Below are 24,142 nucleotides of genomic sequence, written 5' to 3'. Positions count from 1 at the left end.
TCTTTAGAGAGGTGTGGATTATATGAGGTATGCATTTATCAAAACTCATTGAATTGTATACAGGTTTTTATTTCATTATGTGTAAATTTTACCTTTAAAAAGCAGTAAACAATTATTGAAGTCTAATTCATAGACTTTTTTTTTTCCTAGTGGTATGGGTTAGTGATTTGGTTTGGCTGTGTCCCCACCCAAATCTAATCTTGAATTCCCATGTGTTGTGGGAGGGACCCCAGTGGGAGGTAAGTGAATCATGGGGGCAAGTCTTTCCCATGCTGTCCTCATGATAGTGAATAAATCTCACAAGATCCGATGGTTTTAAAAAGAGGAGTTCCCCTGCACAAACCCTCTCTCTTTTTGCCTGCTGCCATCCATGTAAGATGTGACTTGCTCCTCCTTGCCTTCCACCATGATTGTGAGGTTTCCCCAGTTATGTGAAACTGTAAGTCCAATTAAACCTCTTTCTTTTGTAAATTGTCCAGTCTCAGGTATGTCTTTATCAGCAGCTTGAAAACAGACTAATACAGTTAGCAATTCTGAAATGAATTTCTCTGTATCCTAATCTTAATCAAATGAGTAAATATATTAAGCATAATGAGATCCAAGTTTCTCACTGTTGTAGAAGAAAGTTACAAATATGGAAAAGGGAGGATTAGAATGTACAATGTGCTTTCAGATTAAAATTGGAGGTATCAGTATGAACTCATAGTTTTTAATAGATGGATGATAAATGGAGACTCTCTATATATATAGTTTCCCAGATCTGTCTACTTGAGAGGACCTAAAAGCAATAACAGCAGTAGCAATGAGAACATATGGCCTCTCCCAGGTAGTTCAGAGGTCCTTGTATGACTTCAGGCCAGTGCAGTGCTTCAACCAAAGCAAGTCAAATATGTGTACTTAGAAGTCAAATGCATGCCTGTAATTCCAGAACACTGGGAGGCTGAGGCAGGTGAATCACTTGTGCTCAGGAGTTCAAGACCAGCTGGGCAACATGGCAAAACCCTGTCTCTATAAAAAATATAAAAATTAACCAGGCACGGTGGTGCATGCCTGTAGTCCAAGCTACTTGGGGGCTGAGGCAGGAGGATTGCTTGAGCCCAGGAGGTCAAGGCTGACCTCCTATCCCATGATGGCAAGAAACTTAGCTTTTGAGGTTTTTCTGGGGTCACTTTGGCCAAAAAGGGTTCCTTCAGTTGGTTAAGGGGCTTAGGATTTTATTTTTATTTCTCAGTATGAAGGGTTAATTGTATTTTGGGCAGAATATATCCAAAGGACACCAGATCCTAATCCTAATTTCTGCTTCCATTTATACCCTACTATCAAAAACAAGCCAACTAACCTACAAAGTCATACTTTTTAAAACAAACCTATTAGATAGCTGAGGATTAATGAAACCAAAATGAACTAAAATCTAGGAAGTGACAAGCCCTTCCTGGGAACTGCCATACAGCTCCTATCATCTTTTGTAGGGTAGTGCAAGTAGGAAGTTACCATTAATAGATTTAAGGAGAAACTATCTAAACTTTGTAAGAATTTTATGACTAAATGACAGCTGGTGTGATGTTTAGGATCCTAAGCTCGATGCACAGTGAGAATCTGCACCTACTCATCACACCTTTCCCATGGGCCTTCACTAAGTGCTAATGCAAAAGATGATGAGCAGAGCAAGAGAGGTGAGATAGAATGATGAAAAGAGGGCAGAAGAACTAAAGGAAACTCTATGAAGTGCCACAGGCCTTCATTAAGTACTTGTCAGAGGGTTCTCACAGCTGGAGGAAGGGCAAGAGACCTAAAAGATCTCTTTGGGGAGCAAGTTCCCAAAATCTCAAGGTCTTTTTAGCTCTTCTGCATTGCCACCACTCAGAAACATACCATCCTAAGCCCCTTATGGACACTCTTAGCATTCACTAAAATTCACTGCCCAATACTCCATGGATAAGGAGAACATAGCAGAGCAGAAAGAGGTCCCTTGAACCACAGAAAGCCAGGAGGCAGAACTGTATAACAAAGCAAACTCTTTAACAACATAAAAATCTAGAAGCCAGTTTAGAAAGCAGAATGAGATTCTCCTTGGTTCAGGAAGCCAAAGATTGTTTGTACAAAAAGGTCTTGCCCTGTTGGAGGTAAAGTACTGACTCATTCTTGAATCATTAACCTATTGGTGAACTAAACCTAATTAAAATGACAGTAAACTTCACACATAGCTCAACTATAGTTTATACAGATGGCTGACAGAAAAAAAGGTATCCTGGGCAAAAATATTACTTACTTCAGTCTCTACTGTATTTTGACAAACAATGTCCTGTACACATTCAAAAATTACAAAACACATGAAGAAAAATAGCATATTTTGAAAGAAAATAAAAACAGACTGAGAGATGGCCCAAAAGTTAATATTATATAAATTTGATAAATATGTTAAAAGATCTAGTGGAAAAGGTACATAATATACAACGGGTAATTTGGCCACAGAAATAGAAACTATTTAAAAGAGCCAAATGAAATTGCTAGAAATAAAATATATGATGTCTAAGATGAAGAATTCATTCAATCAGCTTTTCAAGAGACTGGAAACGACAGTGAAAAGAATCAATAAACTTGACAACAGGTCAACGGATCATCCACATTTTAGCACAATAAAGTGAAAAGTAGAATAGCAATATCAAACAGTCTAAAGTATATGTAATTAGAATCTTATATTATGAATTGAAATTGTATTAATTGTAAAGGGAAAGATATACATAACTTAACCAAGTGATCAGAGTTAACAGTTCATCAGTATTGGAATGAACCAATAGCATGTGCCACCTGATATGACACACTAAGTATACTATATAACTTCAGTGGTGCAACTGTCCTAAAAATGCATAATCTGAATCTTACCATAAGGAAATATCGGACAAGACATAATTGAAGGACATTCTATACAACAGATGACTTGTACTCTTCAAACATTTTGTCAAGAAAGTCAAAGGAAGACAGGCATTATTCCATGTTTAAAGAGACCAAAGAGACAACTAACTGCAGTCTGTGAATCTGAATTGAATCCTGGACAAGAGAAACTATCAATTAAAACATTATTTGCATAATTAATTAAAATCAAATGTGGACTGTATATTATAGTATATATCAATGCTAAATGTTCTTGTTTTGATAATTGGACTATGGTTATGTAGGAGATGTCTGTGTTCTTAGGAGATATACAGTAAACTAACAATAAATGGTCACGATGCATCAAACTTACTCTCAAATGATTCTCTACAAATATATATAAGATATATGAATATGTATGCAGATATACATGCAGAGAGGGAGTAAGCAAATGGGGCAAGATGTAAATAATTGGTGAATCTGGAAAAAAGTATTATTGGAATTCCTTATGCAATTCATGCAGCTTTTTCATAAGTTTGAAATTATATCACCATACAAAGTTATCCCCAAAGAGCATCCTTGAAAATAAATGATGCTGCCAGAGAACACTATGCTGCTTGATAAATGCTTATAGGGCAGATAGGGAAATGCTGTGGTCAGGCAAGCAACCTAGGATTTCACTGGTGATCAAAGATATGTGTCAGTTCTGTACAGATTCTGAAATGACATTAGCTCAGAATCTAGGGACTTTAAAACAGGAAGAAACCGTGGCACTGCCCTAGCCCACGGTCCTCCTTTTACAGATAAGGAAATGAGATTCAGGTGTGAAGTCCAAGCTTCTTTGAGGAAGGTCCAAGTCTTTTGATTCTCAGTCTTCACCCCTTATGCCTTCGTTCTTCACTCATTCATCATGCTGCCTTCTCAAGAACATTATGGTGTCCCTAGCAGCCTTGCCACAGTCTCCTTCTCTTCCTCCTTCTCTTTAAGCCACCCTGAAACTCTGGCCCATAATATGGGTAACCAGCACAACTTGTGAAAGCTGAGGTGTGTATCTGCTTAATGTTATGGCATTTCTTACAGGGTGGGTATTGAGTTCCAAGGAACACGAGGGCTTTGCTGGCTCCTGGGGGCAGCATAACTCTTTACTACCATTTCCCCTCCCAGGCTACCACTTCCAAGTGGAGATTCATCTTAATTACTGTCCCTCCTATTTTTATTGACTGGTTGTTGAGAGGTATTGAACGCTCAATGTGTACTTATCACTCCCCTATCACACTGATAATATGACTTATTACTCACAATTTCGTTATTTCCTGATTAAGCACTCTTGAACTAAATAAGGGTGTGGTGTGTTTATGAGGAGGAGTAGAGGAATAGGAAAAGTTAGCACTTCCTTTCTCAAGAGTATGGGCACTCAGTAATATGTGGCATGTAACTTTCCTGTGGCATGAATTAATAAGGAGAAATATTGGATTCCAACTTCATGATGAGTTATTGCTAGCCTGATTACCCTCCATGCCACAGGGCAAGCCCTAAAGCCTCACGACCATATCACAATGAGATTCAACAAATTCCTCCTTCCCTGGAAACATATTTTATAGCAATCATCCCACTGGAGGCCTGATAATCTCTTCTTCCTATAGGAAGTTCAGTTTGGCCATAACTATAATCATTATTGTGACCATTAATCCTAGTAGCAGCAGTGTTTTGTTAGTGAATTGTTTATAATAGATGTTAATATTTATTTTCTAAAGAATGATGCATCAATAGCAATATCTTTTTGGTTCCCCAGAAACAAGGGGCCTGGGAGTAAAGGAGACTTTCTCTGTTAAAAATCATTTTACACCACGAGCCCTACTCCACTCCACCATCCCTATACCATAAGTAATTGTTTATTATTATTATTTTTTTGCTTCTTTTCAATATTATCTCCACCTTCCTCTACCATTTAGATTCTACTGAAAGCTCTCTAGTGTAGGCCCCACTGTCACTTGAACTTGGAATGAAAAGAATTGCGTGGATGGAATTAAATGACCTGCTATTCAGGCTGGCCACAGTAACTCATGCCAATGATCCCAGCACTTTGGGAGGCTGAAGTGGGAGGATCATTTGAAGCCAGGAGTTCGAGATCAGCTTGGGAAACAAAATGAGACCTTGTCTCTACAAACAAAAATTATAATAATAAAAAATAGCTGGGCATGGTGGTGCATGCCTGTATTCCCAGCTACTCAGGAGATTGAGGTGCAAGGATCACTTGAGCCCAGGAGTTCAAGGCTGCAGTGAGCTGAGATCACACCACTGCGTCCCAGCCTGGGCAACAGATTAAGATCTCATCTCTAAAATAAATTAATTAATTAAATAAATGACCTGATATTCAAAGAAAATGTATGAAGGAAGCAGTGAACAAAAAATAAATGGGTATATAGAGATACGAAATCAGAGATTTCCAGCCACCATCGGCATGAGCTGGAGCTGGCCACTGGGGTGTGACAATCTTCATAACTCAAGGCATTCCTGGGCTCTTCTACCTCTTTATATCCTGTAATTTTTTCAGTTATTTCACTACTATATTTCACATAGCAATGCTCAATAATATTTGTTAAGTCAATGACCTCTAGCACTTATGTATAGAAGTGATATCACTGAGCTTTTACTGGAACTATTAGGGGAAACCACTTTGTGTTTTTAAAATTCTATTCAGTACACTCCCCTCCCCCATTGCCAATCTCCCTCCTTTTCCAACACACACACATACACACACACACACACACACACACACGGTGATATAGAAAGATCAAGGACTTTGGTATTCACAAACTTGATTTCAAATCCAGTTCTGCCCTTATTACATTTGTGACCTTGGGGAAGTTACTTAATCTCTGTAAGGTCCAGTTCCTTGTCTATAAACAAGATTAGGTGAGATAATGTGAAATTCACTTGCAAATGGTTTAGTGACAAACATAAGTATTATTCCACCTCTCCTTCTAGTATTTTCTTTTTTAATAAGTCACAATATAATACTTTGTATATATTCAATTACTCCCTCAAAGTGTTAGTTTGTTTTTATGTGTCCCACAAAGTAAGTTACAACACTTTCCAGTAGCTAGCCACACCTTAAGCACATGACCACATGGATATAGTTTCCATGAAGTAAGATTGTGCCACTCTCCTCAAATAACCTTTCCTTAATATTTAACCAGGGCTGTCTACACTGAGAGAAGCTCTGCACACACAGGAAAAGTATACTCTGCCCAGAGATTTTCAGTCACACACTCATCTTCCTTAGATTACTTGGTATATATCCCAGCAACACAGGAACAAATTAACTCCTGTGGCGAAATAGCTTGCATTTAGTATGCTGGAGCCAGCATCCACCCTTACCTAAGAGCTGTCCTCACAAAGCCACTTTGGAAGTCAATTCCTATTCCAGAGAATTGTAAAGAGACGGTGAGAAAAGGCAAGTTGCCAGAATCATCCTGTCCCACCATGCCTCCGTCCCTCAGAATAGTGAAGGACAAAGTGCTTGGAGCCAGACTGACTGAGTTTGATGCTAATTCTGCTGTTTCCTTTCTATGTAACTTTAGGGGAGGTTATTTAGTCTCTCAGTGCCTTAGTTTTCTGATCTTCAAAACAGTGCTAACTACAGAACCCATCTTAAGATTTATAGAGAGGATTAAATGGCCTGACATATTTAAAGCCCAGAGTCCACACCTGGCACACTGGTAACTGGTGAATATTCACTATTATTGTCACCATGAAGTATAGCAGATTTGGTGGAAGTCCTAGGAAAGACCAGATTCTACCTGAAGCCACTTAAAGTCCTAGCTCACCAGTGAGTCACAGGACAGGCTAGTCATTTCTTACTCAAGAAAAGTAGGTGCTAAGAAAACTGTTAGTACCTGTGTCCTCACCAGAAAGCATTGCTGTGCCTGCCTAATCTCCTCATTTGTACCCAATATGTACCTGGAGCTCAGGGACCAGCTGCTGTGTCATGAGTATTAGCTATCACGGGTATTAGCGGAAACAAATACCCATGCAAGTCCACTCCCAGAAAGAACAGAGAAATACAAGTACCATAGGTGAAAACAGGGGACCCTGGGGCTGGTCCCCTTTTTTTCTTCCTTGTAAGTTGTGTATTTATATTTGGAATAGAGATTTGCAGTGGGAAGGCCGTGTGAAGCAGTGGAAGTCAGTGTTCAGTGGCTGATGAGTGGCTCTTGACCACCATAATTTTCTTCCTGACACATTTGACAGAGCATTACTGTCTCCTTTCTTAGCATCATGACACTATCTGGGCAGACACTTGCACAAGCCTGTGAAGACTGGATTGCAACTGCCCCTTCACACCTGTAAGAGTTGCTTCTCCATGACCATTCACAGAGCAACCAGAGGCAACGCCTTGGAAGTACTTCTTTAGAAAGGCATTTGAAGGATAGGTCAAGTTTCTTTTTAAAGTTGGTTTTGGATTTTCAATGCCCCTCCATCACCAAAAGAAAAATGTTCTTTCTTCTAGAGGTGAGTGATAACATATTAATCTTTGAATTTCTTTTCTGAAGAGATAGATAGATAGTAGATAGGTAGATGGATAGATGATACAGATACACAAAAAATATATTTTACATATTAGTAAACTATGTAGATATCTATATATATTATGTATATATTAATGTTGGTTATACTTTTGTATGCATATATTTCAGAGTGGGAAGACTACACAGTTATGTAGGGTTTAGTTGATCCTTGGTCTGTGAGGCCTGTCTTAGTGTTCTACAGTGAGGTGTTTCATAGAGAGGAACTGGTCTTAATGAAAAAGAACATGAAAACAAAGAAAACAAAACACAAGCAGGCAGTGAAAAGCCAAGAGAAAAGGATGGAGTGCACATTTCAGACAAGCAATATAGAGTGTTAACTGCAAAATTAAGGTCACAGTCATCGTACTACAGGGCTTTGATGGCTGTTCATTTATCATTGTCCATTTCGGAAATGGAATAAAGAACAAAATAAAGGCCAATGACTTGGGGTTGCTGGAAGTAAAATTGCCTAGAACATTTTTTAATAAAAGAAATAGACTGCATTAGCAGAAAAATGTAAAGAGGAAAAGCTAAATTAGTATCAGTAAATAACCACAGTATATAAGCTTCAGCCAATGTGGTTAATTACGGAAAATTAGAGGTAAAAAGCTCAAAGAAAAACAGACAAACATGTTCAAGAGAAAATGCCATCCTTTGTTATTAGAAAAAGGGGTTGGGCATGGGAACTGAAAATCCAGAAAGTTCACTTGTCTATTTTTGTTGTTTGAATCCATGGTAAAATAACCCCTTAGTTTAAATGTATCAAACAATACATATAATAAGTAAGAGGCTTTAGGTTCTGAAGAAAAAATGAATAGATAACAAAAACTAGACAATTAAAGCAGACGTGGGGAAAGGAAGTGACTCTATCCTTCTTTGAAGGCAGCTTCTTTTATTCCATTCAGTTAGTAGTGTTGGAGGGAAACACTGTAAGAACGTTAATGAAGCAATAAAACTCACTTTGAAATCTTCTGCATATGCTTTGTTCTTCTCCCAGAGCTGCTCACAACTACATCCATAGAAAAAAACAGAAACAGCGCCCATAACTGACTTGTGATTGCTTATTAAACATTTACCTTAACGACTACATATAAAACAGTCAAATATTAATACAACAGGAACTTGCAATGTCACAATTTCTCTAGTGCACAAATGGCAGCCTCAAACTGCTAAATGGGCAAGGGACTAAAGGAGAAGTGTTCCCTGAGCCTTTGAAATCCAATGTTCCCCTTGTCTTAAAATGTTTTCAGAGAATAAACTGGCAGCGACCTACGCGTGGCCTGAGTGCGCTCTCTTCACCCTGTCTAAGCCTGTGTAGCTCACCTCTGGGCGCTGCTTCCACCTTCCACTCCCAGGTCTCCACTTCTAACAAAGCTGAACTCTCCCGGGACACAGGGCATCCCACCCACCTTCCCTCTGGCTAGTACCAAACAGCCCTCAGTGAACACCAGATGGTGATGTCAGATTTCTTTTGTGTGTATGTGTGTTTTATTTTATTTTATTTATTTATTTATTATTATTATTTTTTTTTTTGAGTCGGAGTCTCGCTCTTTCGCCCAGGCTGGACGGCAGTGGCGCCATATCGGCTCACTGCAAGCTCTGCCTCTCGGGTTCATGCTATTCTCCTGCCTCAGCCTCCCGAGTAGCTGGGACCACAGGCGCCCACCACCACGCCCGGCTGATTTTTTGTATTTTTAGTAGAGACAGGGTTTCACCGTGTTAGCCAGGATGGTCTCAATCTCCTGACCTCGTGATCCGCCCGCCTTGGCCTCCCAAAGTGCTGGGATTACAGGCGTGAGCCACCGCGCCTGGCCGATGTTAGATTTCTTTTGGTAACAGGTGATAAGAAAAGTGGATGAAGGCTGAGGCAGTTGGCTGTTTAATTTATGAAAGGTGGGAGGGGTGACATATGTGGTTGTGTGTTATGTATGTATGTGTGTTTTGTTTGAATCCATGGTAAAATAACCCCTTAGTTTAAACGTATCAAACAATACATATAAAAAGAGGCTTTAGATATCTATATCTTGTGGCCAAGATACATACACACACACACACACACACACACACACATACATATATAAATTTTCCAACGATAGTAGCTTATAGTTCATAAGTCATTTAATTTTCATACCATGAAACCTCAATTATATTCCTGAGTGTAATTTTACATGTACGTTCATAGTTTAACATTTTATTTCACTAAAAATTATCTTGGCCATTATTATGTTATGTAACCTCAAGGCACTAAGTTTCTTTAAACAGGCATGATGGACAGGGACTTTTTCCCTTCTCTTGCAGTTTCCTCTTTATGGAGCCCTGTTACCTTAAACCTGCAAATGCCTCTCAGGCCTGTTTCTTTTTCTATGTGCTCTCTTACTGTTCTAAATTTACCTTTATTTTCTTTCTCATTATGAAAGTGAGATCCCCTTTCCTGGGTATTACAGATGAAAAATAGGATTTGGATTACGAAACTATGGGCTGTAATCAAGGATTCATGGATTTTTTTTTCCCCTTAGTATTTAAGTTTTCCAGACAAAACACAAAAGGTCCTTATTCTCCAGCTTTTCTAAGAGGTTTTCCCTAGGTTTATATTCTGCATATTCTTTTAAGACTCAACCATTAGGACTCTCTTTGTCAAGTCCTATGATATAATTGACTCATTTTATTTTTACCAGCTATTTAAAATGTTCTGTAAAAGTGTCATGGCATTTCAGGTATCCAGTGTCAGCTATTGATTTAGGAGAAATTTTTAGCCCCTTTTTTTTCTTCAGTGGTTCATTACCAAGTCAAATTTACAAACTAATTCCTTTGAATTTACCATACTGCTATCTTAGGAATTAATAACATTCCCTTCTATTTGAGAAGCCATTTCCTCTAGCTACTTGGCAATTGTGGTTGCTGCTGTCTCCAGTGAAATACCTCTAAACTAAGAAAGGAAATTTCTCTCTCTAAATTAAATTTTTTTAAAACCCTTGATCTAGAAAATAATAAATATAATAGAAATAAGAAACCTAAACCTTTTTTTTTTCTGTTGTGTTCTGCTAAAGAGTTTCTCATCATTCATAATACTATCTAGAGCAGTGGAAATGCTGGCTAGATCAACATGTTTCTCTTCTGGTTCTACATTTGATTTTAGAAAGAAGTAAGCAGTGGAGAAAGCCACTAGCTTTGTCTTCCAAAATGGTCTGTTCCTCAGGGCTGTGGCCAAGCCCAGCATAAGACCAACTATCTGGAAATGGCAGCTATTTTGAGGCAAGATGCAGCTGCATATTCTCCCATGAGATTCAGTGATTAATAACAATGTCGTTTACTTACACAGTGAGAAAAAGTACAAGAGGAATTCTGCAGCCTGTGAACTGTCAATCCCTTTACTTCACCTGACATATTTGCTGCATCTCAGGCTTCTTGGCCTGACCAAGAGCAACATCAACCTGTGTTTGATTTTCACATTTATCTTTGGGTTTTTCTTAGTCTTTTTTATGCCCCATAATTTTTAAAAGTACAAAAGCCCAATACACTATTCTCTAATTATTTGTGATCTTGTCCCACCTATTGAATTTAGGAGAATAAGATTTCTTATTTCCTATAGTGTAAGTACTCTCTGGCAAGTAAACTTGAGCATGGAGGAAATATACGAGACAGGGTCGACAGTGAAACATATCTAAAAACAAAGATAACCTCCTAGTTACTAACAAATGGGTTGCTTTGGCTTGAAAGGGTTCAGAGCATATGAAAAGTTATAACTCCTATGCAAAGAACCCACAGAGAAGGCCAATGATCAAGATCAAGAGTTTATTTAATTAGAAGGAGGCAAGTAGGAAAAATGGAACAGTTTGTAGGAGAGGCGCTTAATTAGTGCACCTTAAAACATGGCACCCCATGTATATAAAATCACAAAATCATAGAATTGAGAATTGTGGAGCCAGAATGGTCCTTTCAGTTCTGTTAGTTCCATGTTATTTAGGCACCAAGAATTTTCTTGGCTCTTTAGCTCTTTTTAAATTTAAGAGTTCAGCAATTCATAAATCGACTTTGATTATCTCTGTGGTTTGCTATTCCAGGGCAAAATATACTTTCCCTATTCCAACAATAAATCTATATTTGAGCATTTTCTGAAGGAAATCATAAAAATAATAGACCCTCTTAGCTGAATATTGTGCCTTTCTTCTAAGGAGCCCAAAGTACTTTCTCCCCGGGTCTGCTTAAATAAATGATGTAATTAATATATGGGAAAAGTATATCACCACTCTTATTTTATAAACCTAGAACTAAGGACCAGGGAGAGCAAACAAAAATCATGCTGTCCTTCCTTTCAAAAAATGAATCTTCTTTGCTACCAAGTGGCAAGTAAAACAAAAAAAAAAATTAAGAAAATGTTAAAAAATGAATTTTCTCATGTATTAACTATATATGCACTTTGAGTATTTCCCCGTCATTGTCATGAGTTTATGGTGTATTTCACAGCTATACTAACATCCTGATTCTAACCTAATGCCTCCTGGATCCTTTGCACCCACTTTGCTGTGCTACATTATTACACACACACACACGCAGGCTTGCGCACATACACACTCACACATACGTACATATGGCCTTTTGGGATTTGTACTGTCGTGTCCATACTGACCCGTTTCATTAGTGTTCTCATCTTAAGCATTACAAATCCACATAATAAACACAAGGATTAGGAATCCAATCTGTGATCATGAAACATGAAAGTTCACTGGCCCACACTAAGATCAAATGGATGAACTTAATGTTATTAATGTCCTTATTAATAAAGCTAACCAGTTTCCCTACGACAGAAACCCAATAGAAGGTACATTCAATGCATCTAATATCTAACTAGTAGCTCTCAACTATATCAAGTGGCACCATAAAATGTACATTGAGATTTACCACTAATAGTTACTATATTTTGTGAGCCATGCATTTCAAGACTTCAATCTTTAAGCAAAATGAACTTACATTTTGTTGTGATTCTGCTACTTATAATTCTATTAATTGGTCTATTTCAAAATGAATTTCCCTGATTTGAAGAATTTCATTCTATAGACATGGCAACTGGGGCATTTAAAAAAGTAAAGTACTTACTCAAAGTCATGCTTTAATAAAATGCTAAACTATAATTTAAATCTATTTCAATTTGACTTAAAGTCGTTAAGTTCAACAACAGCCAGCCCATATAGAAATGAGGCAACCAGTCACAAGCTCCCCCAGCCAGCAGTCACCCGACACCCAGACTTGTCACTGAGCCCAGTGAGGTCCCAAAGAACCACCAAGCCCTAAACTCCCGACCCACAGGACTGCAAGCTAAATATGAGATTATGATTTTAAGGCAACTGAGTTTTGGGGTGTTACATACAATATACTTTGCAAGAAATTGCAAATGTTGATGAATTTAATGTGTTAAGCACAGGCTAAGCACTAGGTAATTTCATTATCTTATTTGAACTTCACTACAACCCCATTTTAGGGATGAGAAAAACAGTAACTTGGATTTGAAGATATAACCTAGTCTACCTCTATAACTAAACCCTACCTTATGCATAGGCAATTGAGTAGTCACCTACAGAGTTTCAGGGCACCATTTCAAGGCACTTGAACATAACAGTCCCTACCTCACATAGGCACACTGTTCCATCATTAAGGAGTTAAGTCCTTTGAACTAAAGCATCATGACTTCAGTCATCACAGCTAAAACATAAAAACTTAGTCTTTTTTGTGCCCCTATAAGTATGAAAAGCTCAATAAACTCTTCTCTAGTTGTTTATTATCTTGTCCCTACCTATGGCATTTAGGAGAATGACATTTCTTATTTTCTATAGTGGAAGGAAATAAGAAATGCCTTACATTTGGTACTGCCTTAAATTTGGTACCACGAAGTAGACTCTGAGACCAAGATTATGTCTACGAGATATACCCACTTCCGGGGATATCAGGAAGAGGAGAAGGAAGCAGGGGAGGGGGAGGGAGAAGAGGGGAGGAGAGGAGGCTGAGCAAGCTCCAGCTTGAATTTCATCATTCCCTGTGACCCAAGTGAGAGAGCTAGGCTTTCAGAATACTATGCTTTTCAGTTGTTCATTAAGGACCATTCCAAGAGCATGTAAATTCCCAACTTCTTGTGAGCAAAGAGGCTCCCAAAGCAACAGATCATGGCCATTGAAAGTAAAAGCCCACAAAGCCAGGAGGGCCCCCAAAATGGGGACAAGGGATTGCAGGGGACCGGGGCAGAGCACCAATGTTGTCTGCACACACACTGAGCCTGCTCATCCATTAGCATTTCCCCTGCAAAGAATATAAATCCCTGGGGGAAGGGGGAATAGATGGGGAAGTTCTGTTGAAGCAAAAAGAAGAAATAGAATTTCAGCCAGGGTCCATGGCCTGAGAAAGGCGTAAGGACATTGAGAGAATGGTCTTGAGCATGAGGAAGCTTCTAGCATGAGGAAGCAATAAGACAGAATAAATGTGAGACAAGAAAGAGCACAAAGCAGTGAGGAAAAAACAAATGCAAAGTTAACCTTCTTCACAATTTGACTTGGTCGTCTGGGATTTTTCTTTGTTGGAATAATTTTCAAACATCTCAGCAGCCTTCTAAGAAGGGTTACTATTCATACATACCCATGGACCTTTTAGAACCACTGTAACTACTGTACTAACATAGCCTTTGATGAAAATAAAAATTATGGTACATTATTATTATAAACTGACTAAATTCTCACAATGAAGAAAAACAACAAGAAATTTAAAAAATTGCTCTTTTAATTTTCAACGGACCTGTTTTATTTTTTTCTTGTCAAATATAGCTATAATGACTGCTCTTCAGAGAAGCATTTAGGCTGGGTTTTGTTTTTTCTTATTCTGAAATTTCAAATTATGGAAATGTTATGGAGTTTACGTGATGGTGGAAAAAATATACTTTGTACCTGCTTTCAGAAACTCTGTTACATATGAACATTAATCATGTTTGGGATGATTTATTTCTGCATTCACGCTGGCCAATTTTATTAGTGTTTGGTTTGGCTGAATGGAAGAAAATCTGCTTTCTATTTCACCTCTATAAAAAGAAGAGTTAGAGCTGTGCTAGCTTATAGAAGGTCTATACTTCAGCTTCATTCCTTAATCTCAGGCACTTTATATTCATCTTTCTTTTATATTCATCCTCTGCAATAGCCTCTACAAAATCTCTTAATCTAGGTCTGTTCAAGTATATCTTCATTGTTTTTTTTCCTACCCCTTCAGAATCTTCAACATTGTACAAAAGAAACATTGGATGCACACCATATGGCTCTTGTCACAACCATTTCTCGCTTTACTACTTAGTCTTCAGTGCTTGCCTCAAGTAATTGTACCACTGAGACTGTGTGCCCATGTGCTCTGTGTCCACCACAAGGCCACGATAGCCTGTCCCCCGCAGCCCCACGAGATGCTGTTCTTTGGTCACTGACACATCAATGGCCTCTATCACTCCCAAATACAGCCATGCTCCTTTTCTTCCACAGAGCAAATGCTGTCTTTTTCATTGTTGTTCGACTCTCTGCATTCAGAAATGTTCTCAACTCCCTCTGCCCAAAATATTCCCTCAAATGTCACAAGATGATCAACACATTTATTTTGTTTTGTATTTCATATTCACTGCTACCCTGGTCTCCCTGAGGGCAGAATTCACATTGAGTAATTACTAAATTCCTAATACCAATCAGCCTGAACACTAAATAACTAAATACTTGGGCTCACTATACCATTTTGGTCATGCTACAGGAGTTTTGATTTTACTTTTCATGAGGGGTACATCTGAGATAGAATTTCAGATATATTTTTTTCCACTTTCAATATTCAAATTTCTGCCCTCTTCCAGCACTTCTGCCCAGTAGCATGCAGTATAGTAAAAATTCTATCTCTCTGGTATATATTTGTGTACCTACAATGTTTCAACCTTGTACCAAATGTTTGGCTAAGCCTATTCATTTACCCTTGGTTCCTTGGTTCCTTTCTCACAGTCAGGTCCACATGAATAATCAAAGGTAGGTCTAGCATCAATGAACTCAAAATGTTATGTTATAAAATTTGCTGGCCAAGTTGCTGACTTGAAATAGTTCAGGTCATTTTAAAACATATGGATAAAGGTAAGAAATAAATCTTCTGGATATTTAGTCTATACTAGAACAAAGGTTTAAATATTTTTTATATTTTCTACAAATATCCTTGGAGCTGTAGACACAACTGTATATGGAGAGGTGAAGTTTCCAACAGCGTGTTGAGTAGAACACTTCCCTCTTCTCATGCTCCTCTATGCACTATTTCATCAGGCAAATAATCAGGACGAGAACTTTTGCTCATGGCTATGTAGGAGGCCAGTGCTTGTAGAATGGGTAAGAGAAGAGGGCCTGGATTTTAGTGGAATGATTTGAAGCTTGGACTTTGAAGTCAGATGTGGGCTAAAGTTCTAACTCTGCTAATGGGCTCTAAGCCCCAGGGCAAGTTACTTGGCATCTCTATACTTCATTTTAGATCTGTTTTCATCTGTAAAGGAGGACAATGCTAGTACCCACTTCACAAAGTTTTTTGGGTTTTGTTTTTGTTTTACAGACAGGATCTCACTCTGTTGCCCAGGCTGAAGTGCAGTGGTGCAATCTTGGCTCAGGCAATCTCCACCTCCAGGGCTCAACCAATCCTCCCACCTCAGCCTCCTGAGTAGCTGGGACCACAGGTGCATACCACCATGCCTGGCTAATTTTGCATATTTTTGGTAGAGAGGGGGTTTTGCCACATTGCCCAGGCTGGTCTCAAATTCCTGGACTCAAGAAATCCACCTGCCTTGGCCTCCCAAAGTGCTGGGATTACAGGCTTGAGCTACCATGCCTGGCCCACAAAGTTTTTTAAGGGAGACAGAGCAGGGACTTCTTTTTAGAGGCCTGTGGGCCCCCAAGCATGGAAATAAAGGAAAATCTTGATTGATTTCTTTCAAGGGAAATTCCAGGCCAGCCTTGAGAATAATTAGGCAACTTGGTAAGAAGGTAATAGTAGCTTAAAAAAATAGCCAAGGAAGCTGGCATCACTAGATGTTTGGTTCCCTATAGAAACTAAAAATCACATCTTAAATTTGTCTCTGAGTCGTTTTTCAGAAACCCAGACACCTACCAAATGGATCCACTGGAAGGTAGACCTCAGATAAGGGAGAGATGAAGACTGAACTCTGACCACAGTTCTTTGTTCTAAATTTCTTTCTGAGGAACCTGGAGGAGGTTATGCCCGTGAGCCAGAGCTAACATTCTTTTCTGATGATCCCAAATTTTTAGACAAAACTTCACCTCCTGAACCAATCACAAATCGGAAAAGTTTTGAATTCATCTATGACCCTGTGAGCCTCCTCTTTCCCCCAACCCTCTCCCTCCTCTGCTTTCCTGGAATTCATGCTTGCCTTTAAAACCCCTTACCTGAAAGCCATCAAAGAGGTCAGAATTTAAGCGTTAGCTGCCTTGTCCTCCTTGCTTGGTGCCTTGCAAATAAATACTTTCCTTTCTACCGCTGCAGAACCTCAGTGTGTATATCTGGTCTTACTATGCCAGGCAAGCAGACCCCAATTTGATTCTATAACATACGTATTAGATGAGATAATAGGTGTAACGTAGGTAAGTGTGTGCTTAGATAAATCAGTGATTAATAAATGTAAACAACAATTAGTATATTAAAGTTATTATCACCACCACAATTCTAGATGCACTGCATAGTCAAATCTCAATAAAATTCTAAATAAAACATGATATGAGATAAATAAACTATGGAAACTATTAATGGAAAAAAAACTCAATCAAATAAATAACATATTTCTGCAAAATAAAAAGAAGCAGCTTAATACATACTGCCATGTTCCAAAATCTTTATTAGGTTGATGGCCATATACTTTATCATCCAAACTGGGACCATTTGGAGAGTAAAAGGGGCATTATAAACAATTACTCCAGGACAAAAGAATAAAACAAAGACCATCCCAGGCTGAATGGGACTTAGGGTCATCTTAAAGAAGAAGACTGAGACAAAGCCAACCATGCAGCTCTGGGATTTTCTATCCAGTATAATCCGTGAAAGCCTTGGTTATTATAGAGAAAATATTCTGAGCCAAACAAATTACCAAGATACAACTAAACATCTAGAAACACAAATGAAATTCAAAATAATGAACTGTAGAAAGCATACACATTTTAGCATCAAAGCCCTGGGGCAAGTTCTGTGTCTGCATTTAAGTCTGCATTAACTTGGGCAAGTCATTCAAAATCTCTAACTCTTTGTGTTCTCACCTGAAAGTGGGAATGATAATAATAATACCTACCCAATTATGACATATAAAAAGCTGCATTATACATTATAAAACAATAAACAAGTTAGTTACTTGAATTAATCATTAAAGATAATTTCCTGAAGATTCTATTGCAATTCTCTTTCTTGGAGAAATAAGAGAGAGAACAAGAAGCTTGTTTATGGAATGCAAGAACTGTAATAATAATAAGAATGCAAAAGCCTCTACTTTGTTGATGATTGTTGACCTGATCCTAGAATCTTTTAGGTATTATTAAAATTTATGTCCTTCAACAAAATGTTGCAATTGAGTCAATAAATATTATGGTCTTGCATTTTTTAGGTGGATCTAAAAAGTAATTAAATCAAAATGAAAATGTCTTTCTTTAAGAGACTGGGTTTAAAATGGTTTAATTCAGTCCATGAGTAGATTAGGGAGAATTGCATAAAAATGTTTCCCATGGCCCTACATCTTCTAACTCCTTGGTTTTCAATTTGACTAAACATTTGAATTATAAGCAGGGCTTTTTAACACTAAAGATGCCCTACCAAACAATTAAATATAATTTCTGAGGTGAGGGGCTTAGGTATTATATGTCTGAAAGCTTCTGGGGTGATTCTGATGGGCAAAGAGGGTTGAAACTGTTAGAAATGCTTGTTCCTTGGTGCCGTAAAGAAGTATCACTTGAACATAAATTTAATTTCCTCAGCAAGGCCATTTTTACTTTCTGCAGAAAGGGTACACTTGCCAGCAGTTTTGCCATGAGAGTATACTGAACAAAGGAGACAGGGTCATTTATAATCTGACACATCCACCTTACTGCTGTCTGGTTTCCATTGGCTGGAATGGGACCTCACATTCTGTATTTGTCCCGATTGGCTAGCAACTTAGAACTTTTTAAAAGAGGCAAAGGCAGAGGAGAACAAAGGAAGGAAGAAGTAACTTGTGGAATGCTGTGAAACATAAAAACACCTTTAAATAAGCAAGAGGAACAGGCTATGACCTAATGCTTGCTTGGACCAGTATAAGCATGCTAGGGCAAATACTTAGGCTAAGTTATGGGAGTTAAGAACATAAAGTACATTGATTTTTTTAATTACGGCTAGCAGATATTTAAGAATGTTAGCACAGGTCTTTGAATAAGTTTTGCTTCTAAGAGAAGTTACTATTTATTCCTAATTAGATGGGGAGGATAGTCTTTGAAGAGGAACCTCTACTTTGCTTTTTACAAGACTATTACCCTGATTCAGAGGCCAAATGTGAAGAGACCTCAAAAGCAGCCTTTGTACCCTTTGTCCCCTAACGCACTGAACTTTTCATCATGCCTCCATATATTCCCTAATCCCTCAGGCCCCAGAATTCCAGTACCTTAAACTTGTCTCTTTCACTTTTTCCCAATCAAATCCCACTAAAAAGATCTCTGATAAGTCCATTCACATCAAAGGGTGGCTGTTGGTAAAACTTAAAGTATTAATTCGCATGGTGTTTACATCTTAACAATGAGCTAAACTTTACAGAAAGAACACACTGAAGGTGGGAATAGAAACATCAGATCAGTATGTGAGAGGGTTTTGGAGCATTTTCCAGACTTTTCCAGTATCTCAGAAATTATACCAAAGAGGTCTGCCTCTGCCTCAACTTGTAAAGTTGATGTAGGTATCAGTTCATGATAAAACAAATAATACAACTCAATAAGCCACCATAATATTTTATTTATACCCTTCATTTCCAGACACTGTTAGGTGTTTTTACACATTATCTTCAGTTCTAAAACCTGATGGAAAGTTAGGAATTGTTAGTCCCATTTTGGATGAGAGGCCCAGAGAGACGAAATCACTTATGCAGACACGGATGTGAGGCTGTAACCTCAATCCACCTGACTTCAAATCTAAGCTCTTTCCACTCCTCCATACTTCTTCCCCAAGGGTGATCATTGCTTTGGAGAATTGATAAAGGCCATGATAAAATGAATTCAGAACAAAAGAGAAAAAAACCTGTTAGAAAGATTGATAAACTCTGCGGAAATTTGGAGCTTATTTTTCTTTTTTTCTTTTCTGTATTTTAAAGCCAGCTATCATGGGGAAATGCAAACAGGTAACTTCCAAAACATGTTTATTAAGTTTATTTAACATCTACTGTTTCTGCTATCACTTCAGGTATTATGGAGGGATCAGTAAGTCCCCATGAACTGCCCTTGATTGGAAAACTCTTTGTGGTGACAGAGTAAGCAGCACATTTAGTGTAATCTTGTAAGAGCAGAAGAAAGAATCTGCACCATCTCAGGAATGAAAAGCGAAACCAGTGATTTGTGTACTCTATATCTAAGCCAATCTGTTAAAGAACATCCAGGTACACTTCATAATGTATTGGTTTGATATTTTAGAGAAAATATCATCTATCCACCCAGGTAGTGGTTTATGCCAAAAAAGTCAGCTAGAATCTTGGCTTATTGATCATTTTTAAGAACAACTCAGTGAGTGGAAAATGAGTGGAAATAATATATAAGATGGTAAACTGTGTTCTTATTTTTTAAGGCTGATTTTGATGCACTATTTAGTGAATTTCTCAGCATTTGTCACTAAAAATTAGATTTTAAAGTTACATATTAAATACAATGAACTATATTTCATGTTATATTAAGTTGTAAGATTAATATGCACATATGAGGATAGAAATTGCTGGGCAGAATTATTCTGAAGGAAAAAGGAAGAGAAAAAAAATGACCTAAGGGAGAAAGAAGGAGGAATGTATAAAAGATTACCTGTTGGGCAAAGAATAAGAAGTTCCTCATATCACACATTTCTTTTGTCCCAGGAAGATCAAAGTTAAGTTTGAAGGAGAAGAAATAATTTTAGTCTTGTTCCCAGAAAGGAAAAGGAGGATGGATTGATTAGACAGAGTATGAGAGACATAATAAGTATTCATTGCATAAGGAGAGAAGAAAAATGTGGTACCAAATGACAGTATTTAAGTAGTCAACATGAGTAGATGGAAATAGAGGATGTGGCAAATCCACAGAGTTTCTAAATAAGCAGGGAGATCTATTTAAAATTATACAAAGACACAGAAAGACAGTAAACTTGATGTAACGTGGATTCATTATGATACAGAGTCACTAAATAGGAGCCTGTTGCTGCTGCTAGAATAGGAAACTATAAAGTAAGTGATGACAGAAATCCCAGTGATATATCACAAAGCAAATGGCCTTAGGAAGGACCAGATGAGAACCAGACTTCAGGGAGGCTGTCGGAATGAACAAATGGCAGGGAGCCAGCCGCAAACATGTATAGTCTTGGTGGCAGTCGAACTTTCAATGACCACACACAATCTTTATGTGAGGGCAAAACTCAAGCCCAATGTCCTTAAAAGTCAAGAAGTCCTTCATCCCAAAGAAAAAAACAAATGTTACCCAATAGGCAAACAATGCTGAGAGTTCACTTCCTCTAACTCTGTAGTTAAGTTACTCACTCAGTATAACATCACCCTCCTGCCAGGGGTTGAAGTCAGGAAGTAGTTTATTTTCGCTGAAACTGAAGGGGGAAGTTAAAGAGAAAAATAGCTGCAACTTGGTCAATTCAGGAAAACCAGGTACGAAAAAAGAGGAGCAAGTTAAAGGGAAAGCCAGCTCGGATTTGCTCACCAGTAAAAGGCAAAAATCCCAGTGTTATTCATCTGCATTTGGTGTGAAAGACAAAAGCTCAACTGGGATCTGAGGCTTTCTGTGTCAGAGGGCAAGGAGTCAATGGGGTTATGAGGAAGTAAGACCACTTGAGACATCAAAGAAAAGTAGATCAAATCACTAGACTCCTCCAAACAGGAGTGGGTGAAGACAAAAAGTGGAGAGAATCCAGAGGGAAGAGAGGAGTAGGGAAAATGGTGGAAAGGGAAGGTTTTTGAGATGGAAGGCAGAGAATGGGAACAAAAGAAGAAAAAGCTGTTTGTTTCAAATCAATATTCTCCAAGAGGATGTCTTGTTTCCCCAGGGATATTCTGAGGGACTCACAGGATCAGAGCTGCGACACTTCTAACATATGGTAGGTAAGAGCGGCTTTAGATTCTCAGGAAACCTCTTCCTCTGCATCTTTTTCTCTGACTATGAGGCCAGACTACCAGTCCACCCTGAATTCTCTTCACTTCCCACCTTCCCCTGAGTGCTGAGTGCTTTCCTTCCTTCTTCAGGGTCAAGGAAAGTAAAAAACATCACCGGTGTCTCCTCCCAACAGCTGAATTATTCTTCCACACTTTTATTTTGATAGCAAAGTAGTTCAAGGTATGTTTGAGGGTTGTGGAAACCCTCAAAGGGATTACAGAATGAAAAAGTTTTGAGAACTATGCTCTAAATAAAGAATTGGAGACGAAAACCTGTCATAATGAAAAATTAAACTAAACTGCCTCAAATACAGCAAAGGAGCAACCAATGTCTTGGCAAGCACGGAGAGAAATTCATATAATGTGGGGCTGGTAAGGAGGCCGTTTCTTGCCAAGGTCCAAGCCTCTTTCCACCTGCCCTGTACTAAGGAAATGCAAGTGGAGAATTTACAGCAATGCAATAGTAATATGCAAAAGCCAAAAATAGGAACCTGCAAAAGCCAAAAATAGGAACCTGAGGAAGAGTCTAGTCCTAAATTTGAAATTTACTTTTGCCAACTTCTACCAGTCTAAATAAACCTATATGAATGAATGAGTCTAATAGTGTCAGTAGACTACTATGCTCACTCCCTGGGTAACAAAATCATTTGTACACACAACCCCAGGGACATGCATTTTACCCATGTAACAAATCTGCACAAGGACCTCCTGAACCTAAAATAAAAGCTGAAAAAATTAAAAATAAATAAATAAATAATCAATATAGTAGGGTAATTAAGAGCCAAGGACAAAACCATCATCACTTATTAGTTATGTGATATTGAGAAAGTTAGTCATTCTTTCTAAGCATTAGTTACTTTGTTAAATGGAGATAATAATACCTACATCACAGAGGGATGTGGTGAGGATTAAGATTTTAAAGTCATTTTTATTTTTGAATTCTTTCTATATTGCTTATAGTATACTAAGTATTTTATACACATTATCTCATTTATCTCTAGAGCTACTCTCTAAATAATTGGATGGATGTACAGATAGATAGGTGGATGGACGGACGAATGGATGGATGGAATTACCAACCCCTAGTTTGGAAAAGAGGAATGAGACCTAGAGGAAATAATTTGCACAAGGTTTCATGATTATTGGAGGGATACCCATGATACCTTCAGACTCCAGAGTCTTTTCTTTATGTTCTACTATTACTATATCATACTATTATCTGTATTCTGCACTTTCAGTCTCTCTTTAGTCCACCTCGTCCCTCAGTTCTGAAAGTCCTACCAGCTGGCTCCCATCCTTAATCCAATCACCCAAAATCTTCAGATTCTTTTTCTTTCTTTTCCTAAAATTCTTTCTAATGGGAACACACACAAACACACACACACACACACATGTGCACACACACTCATGAACATGCACATACACACACACACACACCCCTGAAAGTCCTCTTACTCAACTCATCAAACAATAATGGGCCAAAAGCAGTGTGCCAGGCACTGGGTTAGATGCTGGAGAGACAGAATTAAACACAATGATTCACAAATAATAGCATCAGCCTTAAAGCCTGGGGTTCCATCTCACTTCTCCAACACTACACCTCCCCAGTTTCAACCCCCAGCCTAATCCTCCACCACCACTCCTCACTGTCCTTGAAACTCTGCAAATAAAATGTATTTTTTAGTAGGAAGTAAAGAAATGCTGTAAGATAGTATTTTAATTTTGGTGGACAGGTATATATGCATGTATTTCTTTTGACAGAAGGTCATTTTGGTGCTTTTAAAATCATATCCCTTATTGGCTCTAACTTTGTCTGATGAGAACAAATGTGATTTTTTAAGGCAAATGGAAATAGCCTGTGTGCTTGTAATCATTTTTGAATAATAGCAACCTGAGTTTTTCATCAAGTGTTCAAAAGTCATGAAGAAATGTCCCAAAGTATTTAGAAGCAGAGAGTTTTCTGAATTAGGGCTAGACATACACTAGGAAATCGTGATCTTCAGTGGAAATATGGCTTTTTGAGACAAAGAAGACTTTGGGTTCAGACAGCCTAATTTTTCCATGTCAGCTCTCCTTCTCACTAAGAATGGGACGGTAGGCAAACTGATTAACCTCTCTGTGCATCATTTCCCTATCTTTTCTAAAATGAGCACCATAATACTTTTGTCTCATGGTTGCCCCAGAAATTCAATAATTACGTAAAGCACTTTGGCACATAAGTGGTCAATATATTATGGCAGTTGTTATTACTATTATTTTCCATGTGAAAATCAACTAAGCAAACTTCTGAAAAAAGATTTAAGATAATGCTGCT

At 38.1% G+C, this 24,142-nt stretch overlaps 2 long non-coding RNA genes across 2 annotated transcripts in view; one reads left to right on the top strand and one right to left on the bottom strand.

The window, feature by feature from the left end:
* LOC107986195 (uncharacterized) overlaps positions 1-24,142 on the bottom strand; it is a 496,338-nt gene that overhangs the window by 176,358 nt on the left and 295,838 nt on the right. The gene's annotated exons all lie outside the window — the stretch shown is intronic.
* The window catches only part of LOC105377481 (uncharacterized), a 51,454-nt gene continuing 48,515 nt past the window's right edge, over positions 21,204-24,142 (top strand). The window contains exons 1-2 of the long non-coding RNA XR_007058322.1: positions 21,204-21,327; positions 21,723-21,773. This is a non-coding gene — a long non-coding RNA (uncharacterized LOC105377481). The remainder of the gene's footprint in view (positions 21,328-21,722; positions 21,774-24,142) is intronic.

Source organism: Homo sapiens, chromosome 4 (genome assembly GCF_000001405.40).
Source record: "Homo sapiens chromosome 4, GRCh38.p14 Primary Assembly".
NCBI classification, from domain to species: domain Eukaryota; kingdom Metazoa; phylum Chordata; class Mammalia; order Primates; family Hominidae; genus Homo; species Homo sapiens.
This window is presented reverse-complemented; position numbering and strand designations above follow the sequence as displayed.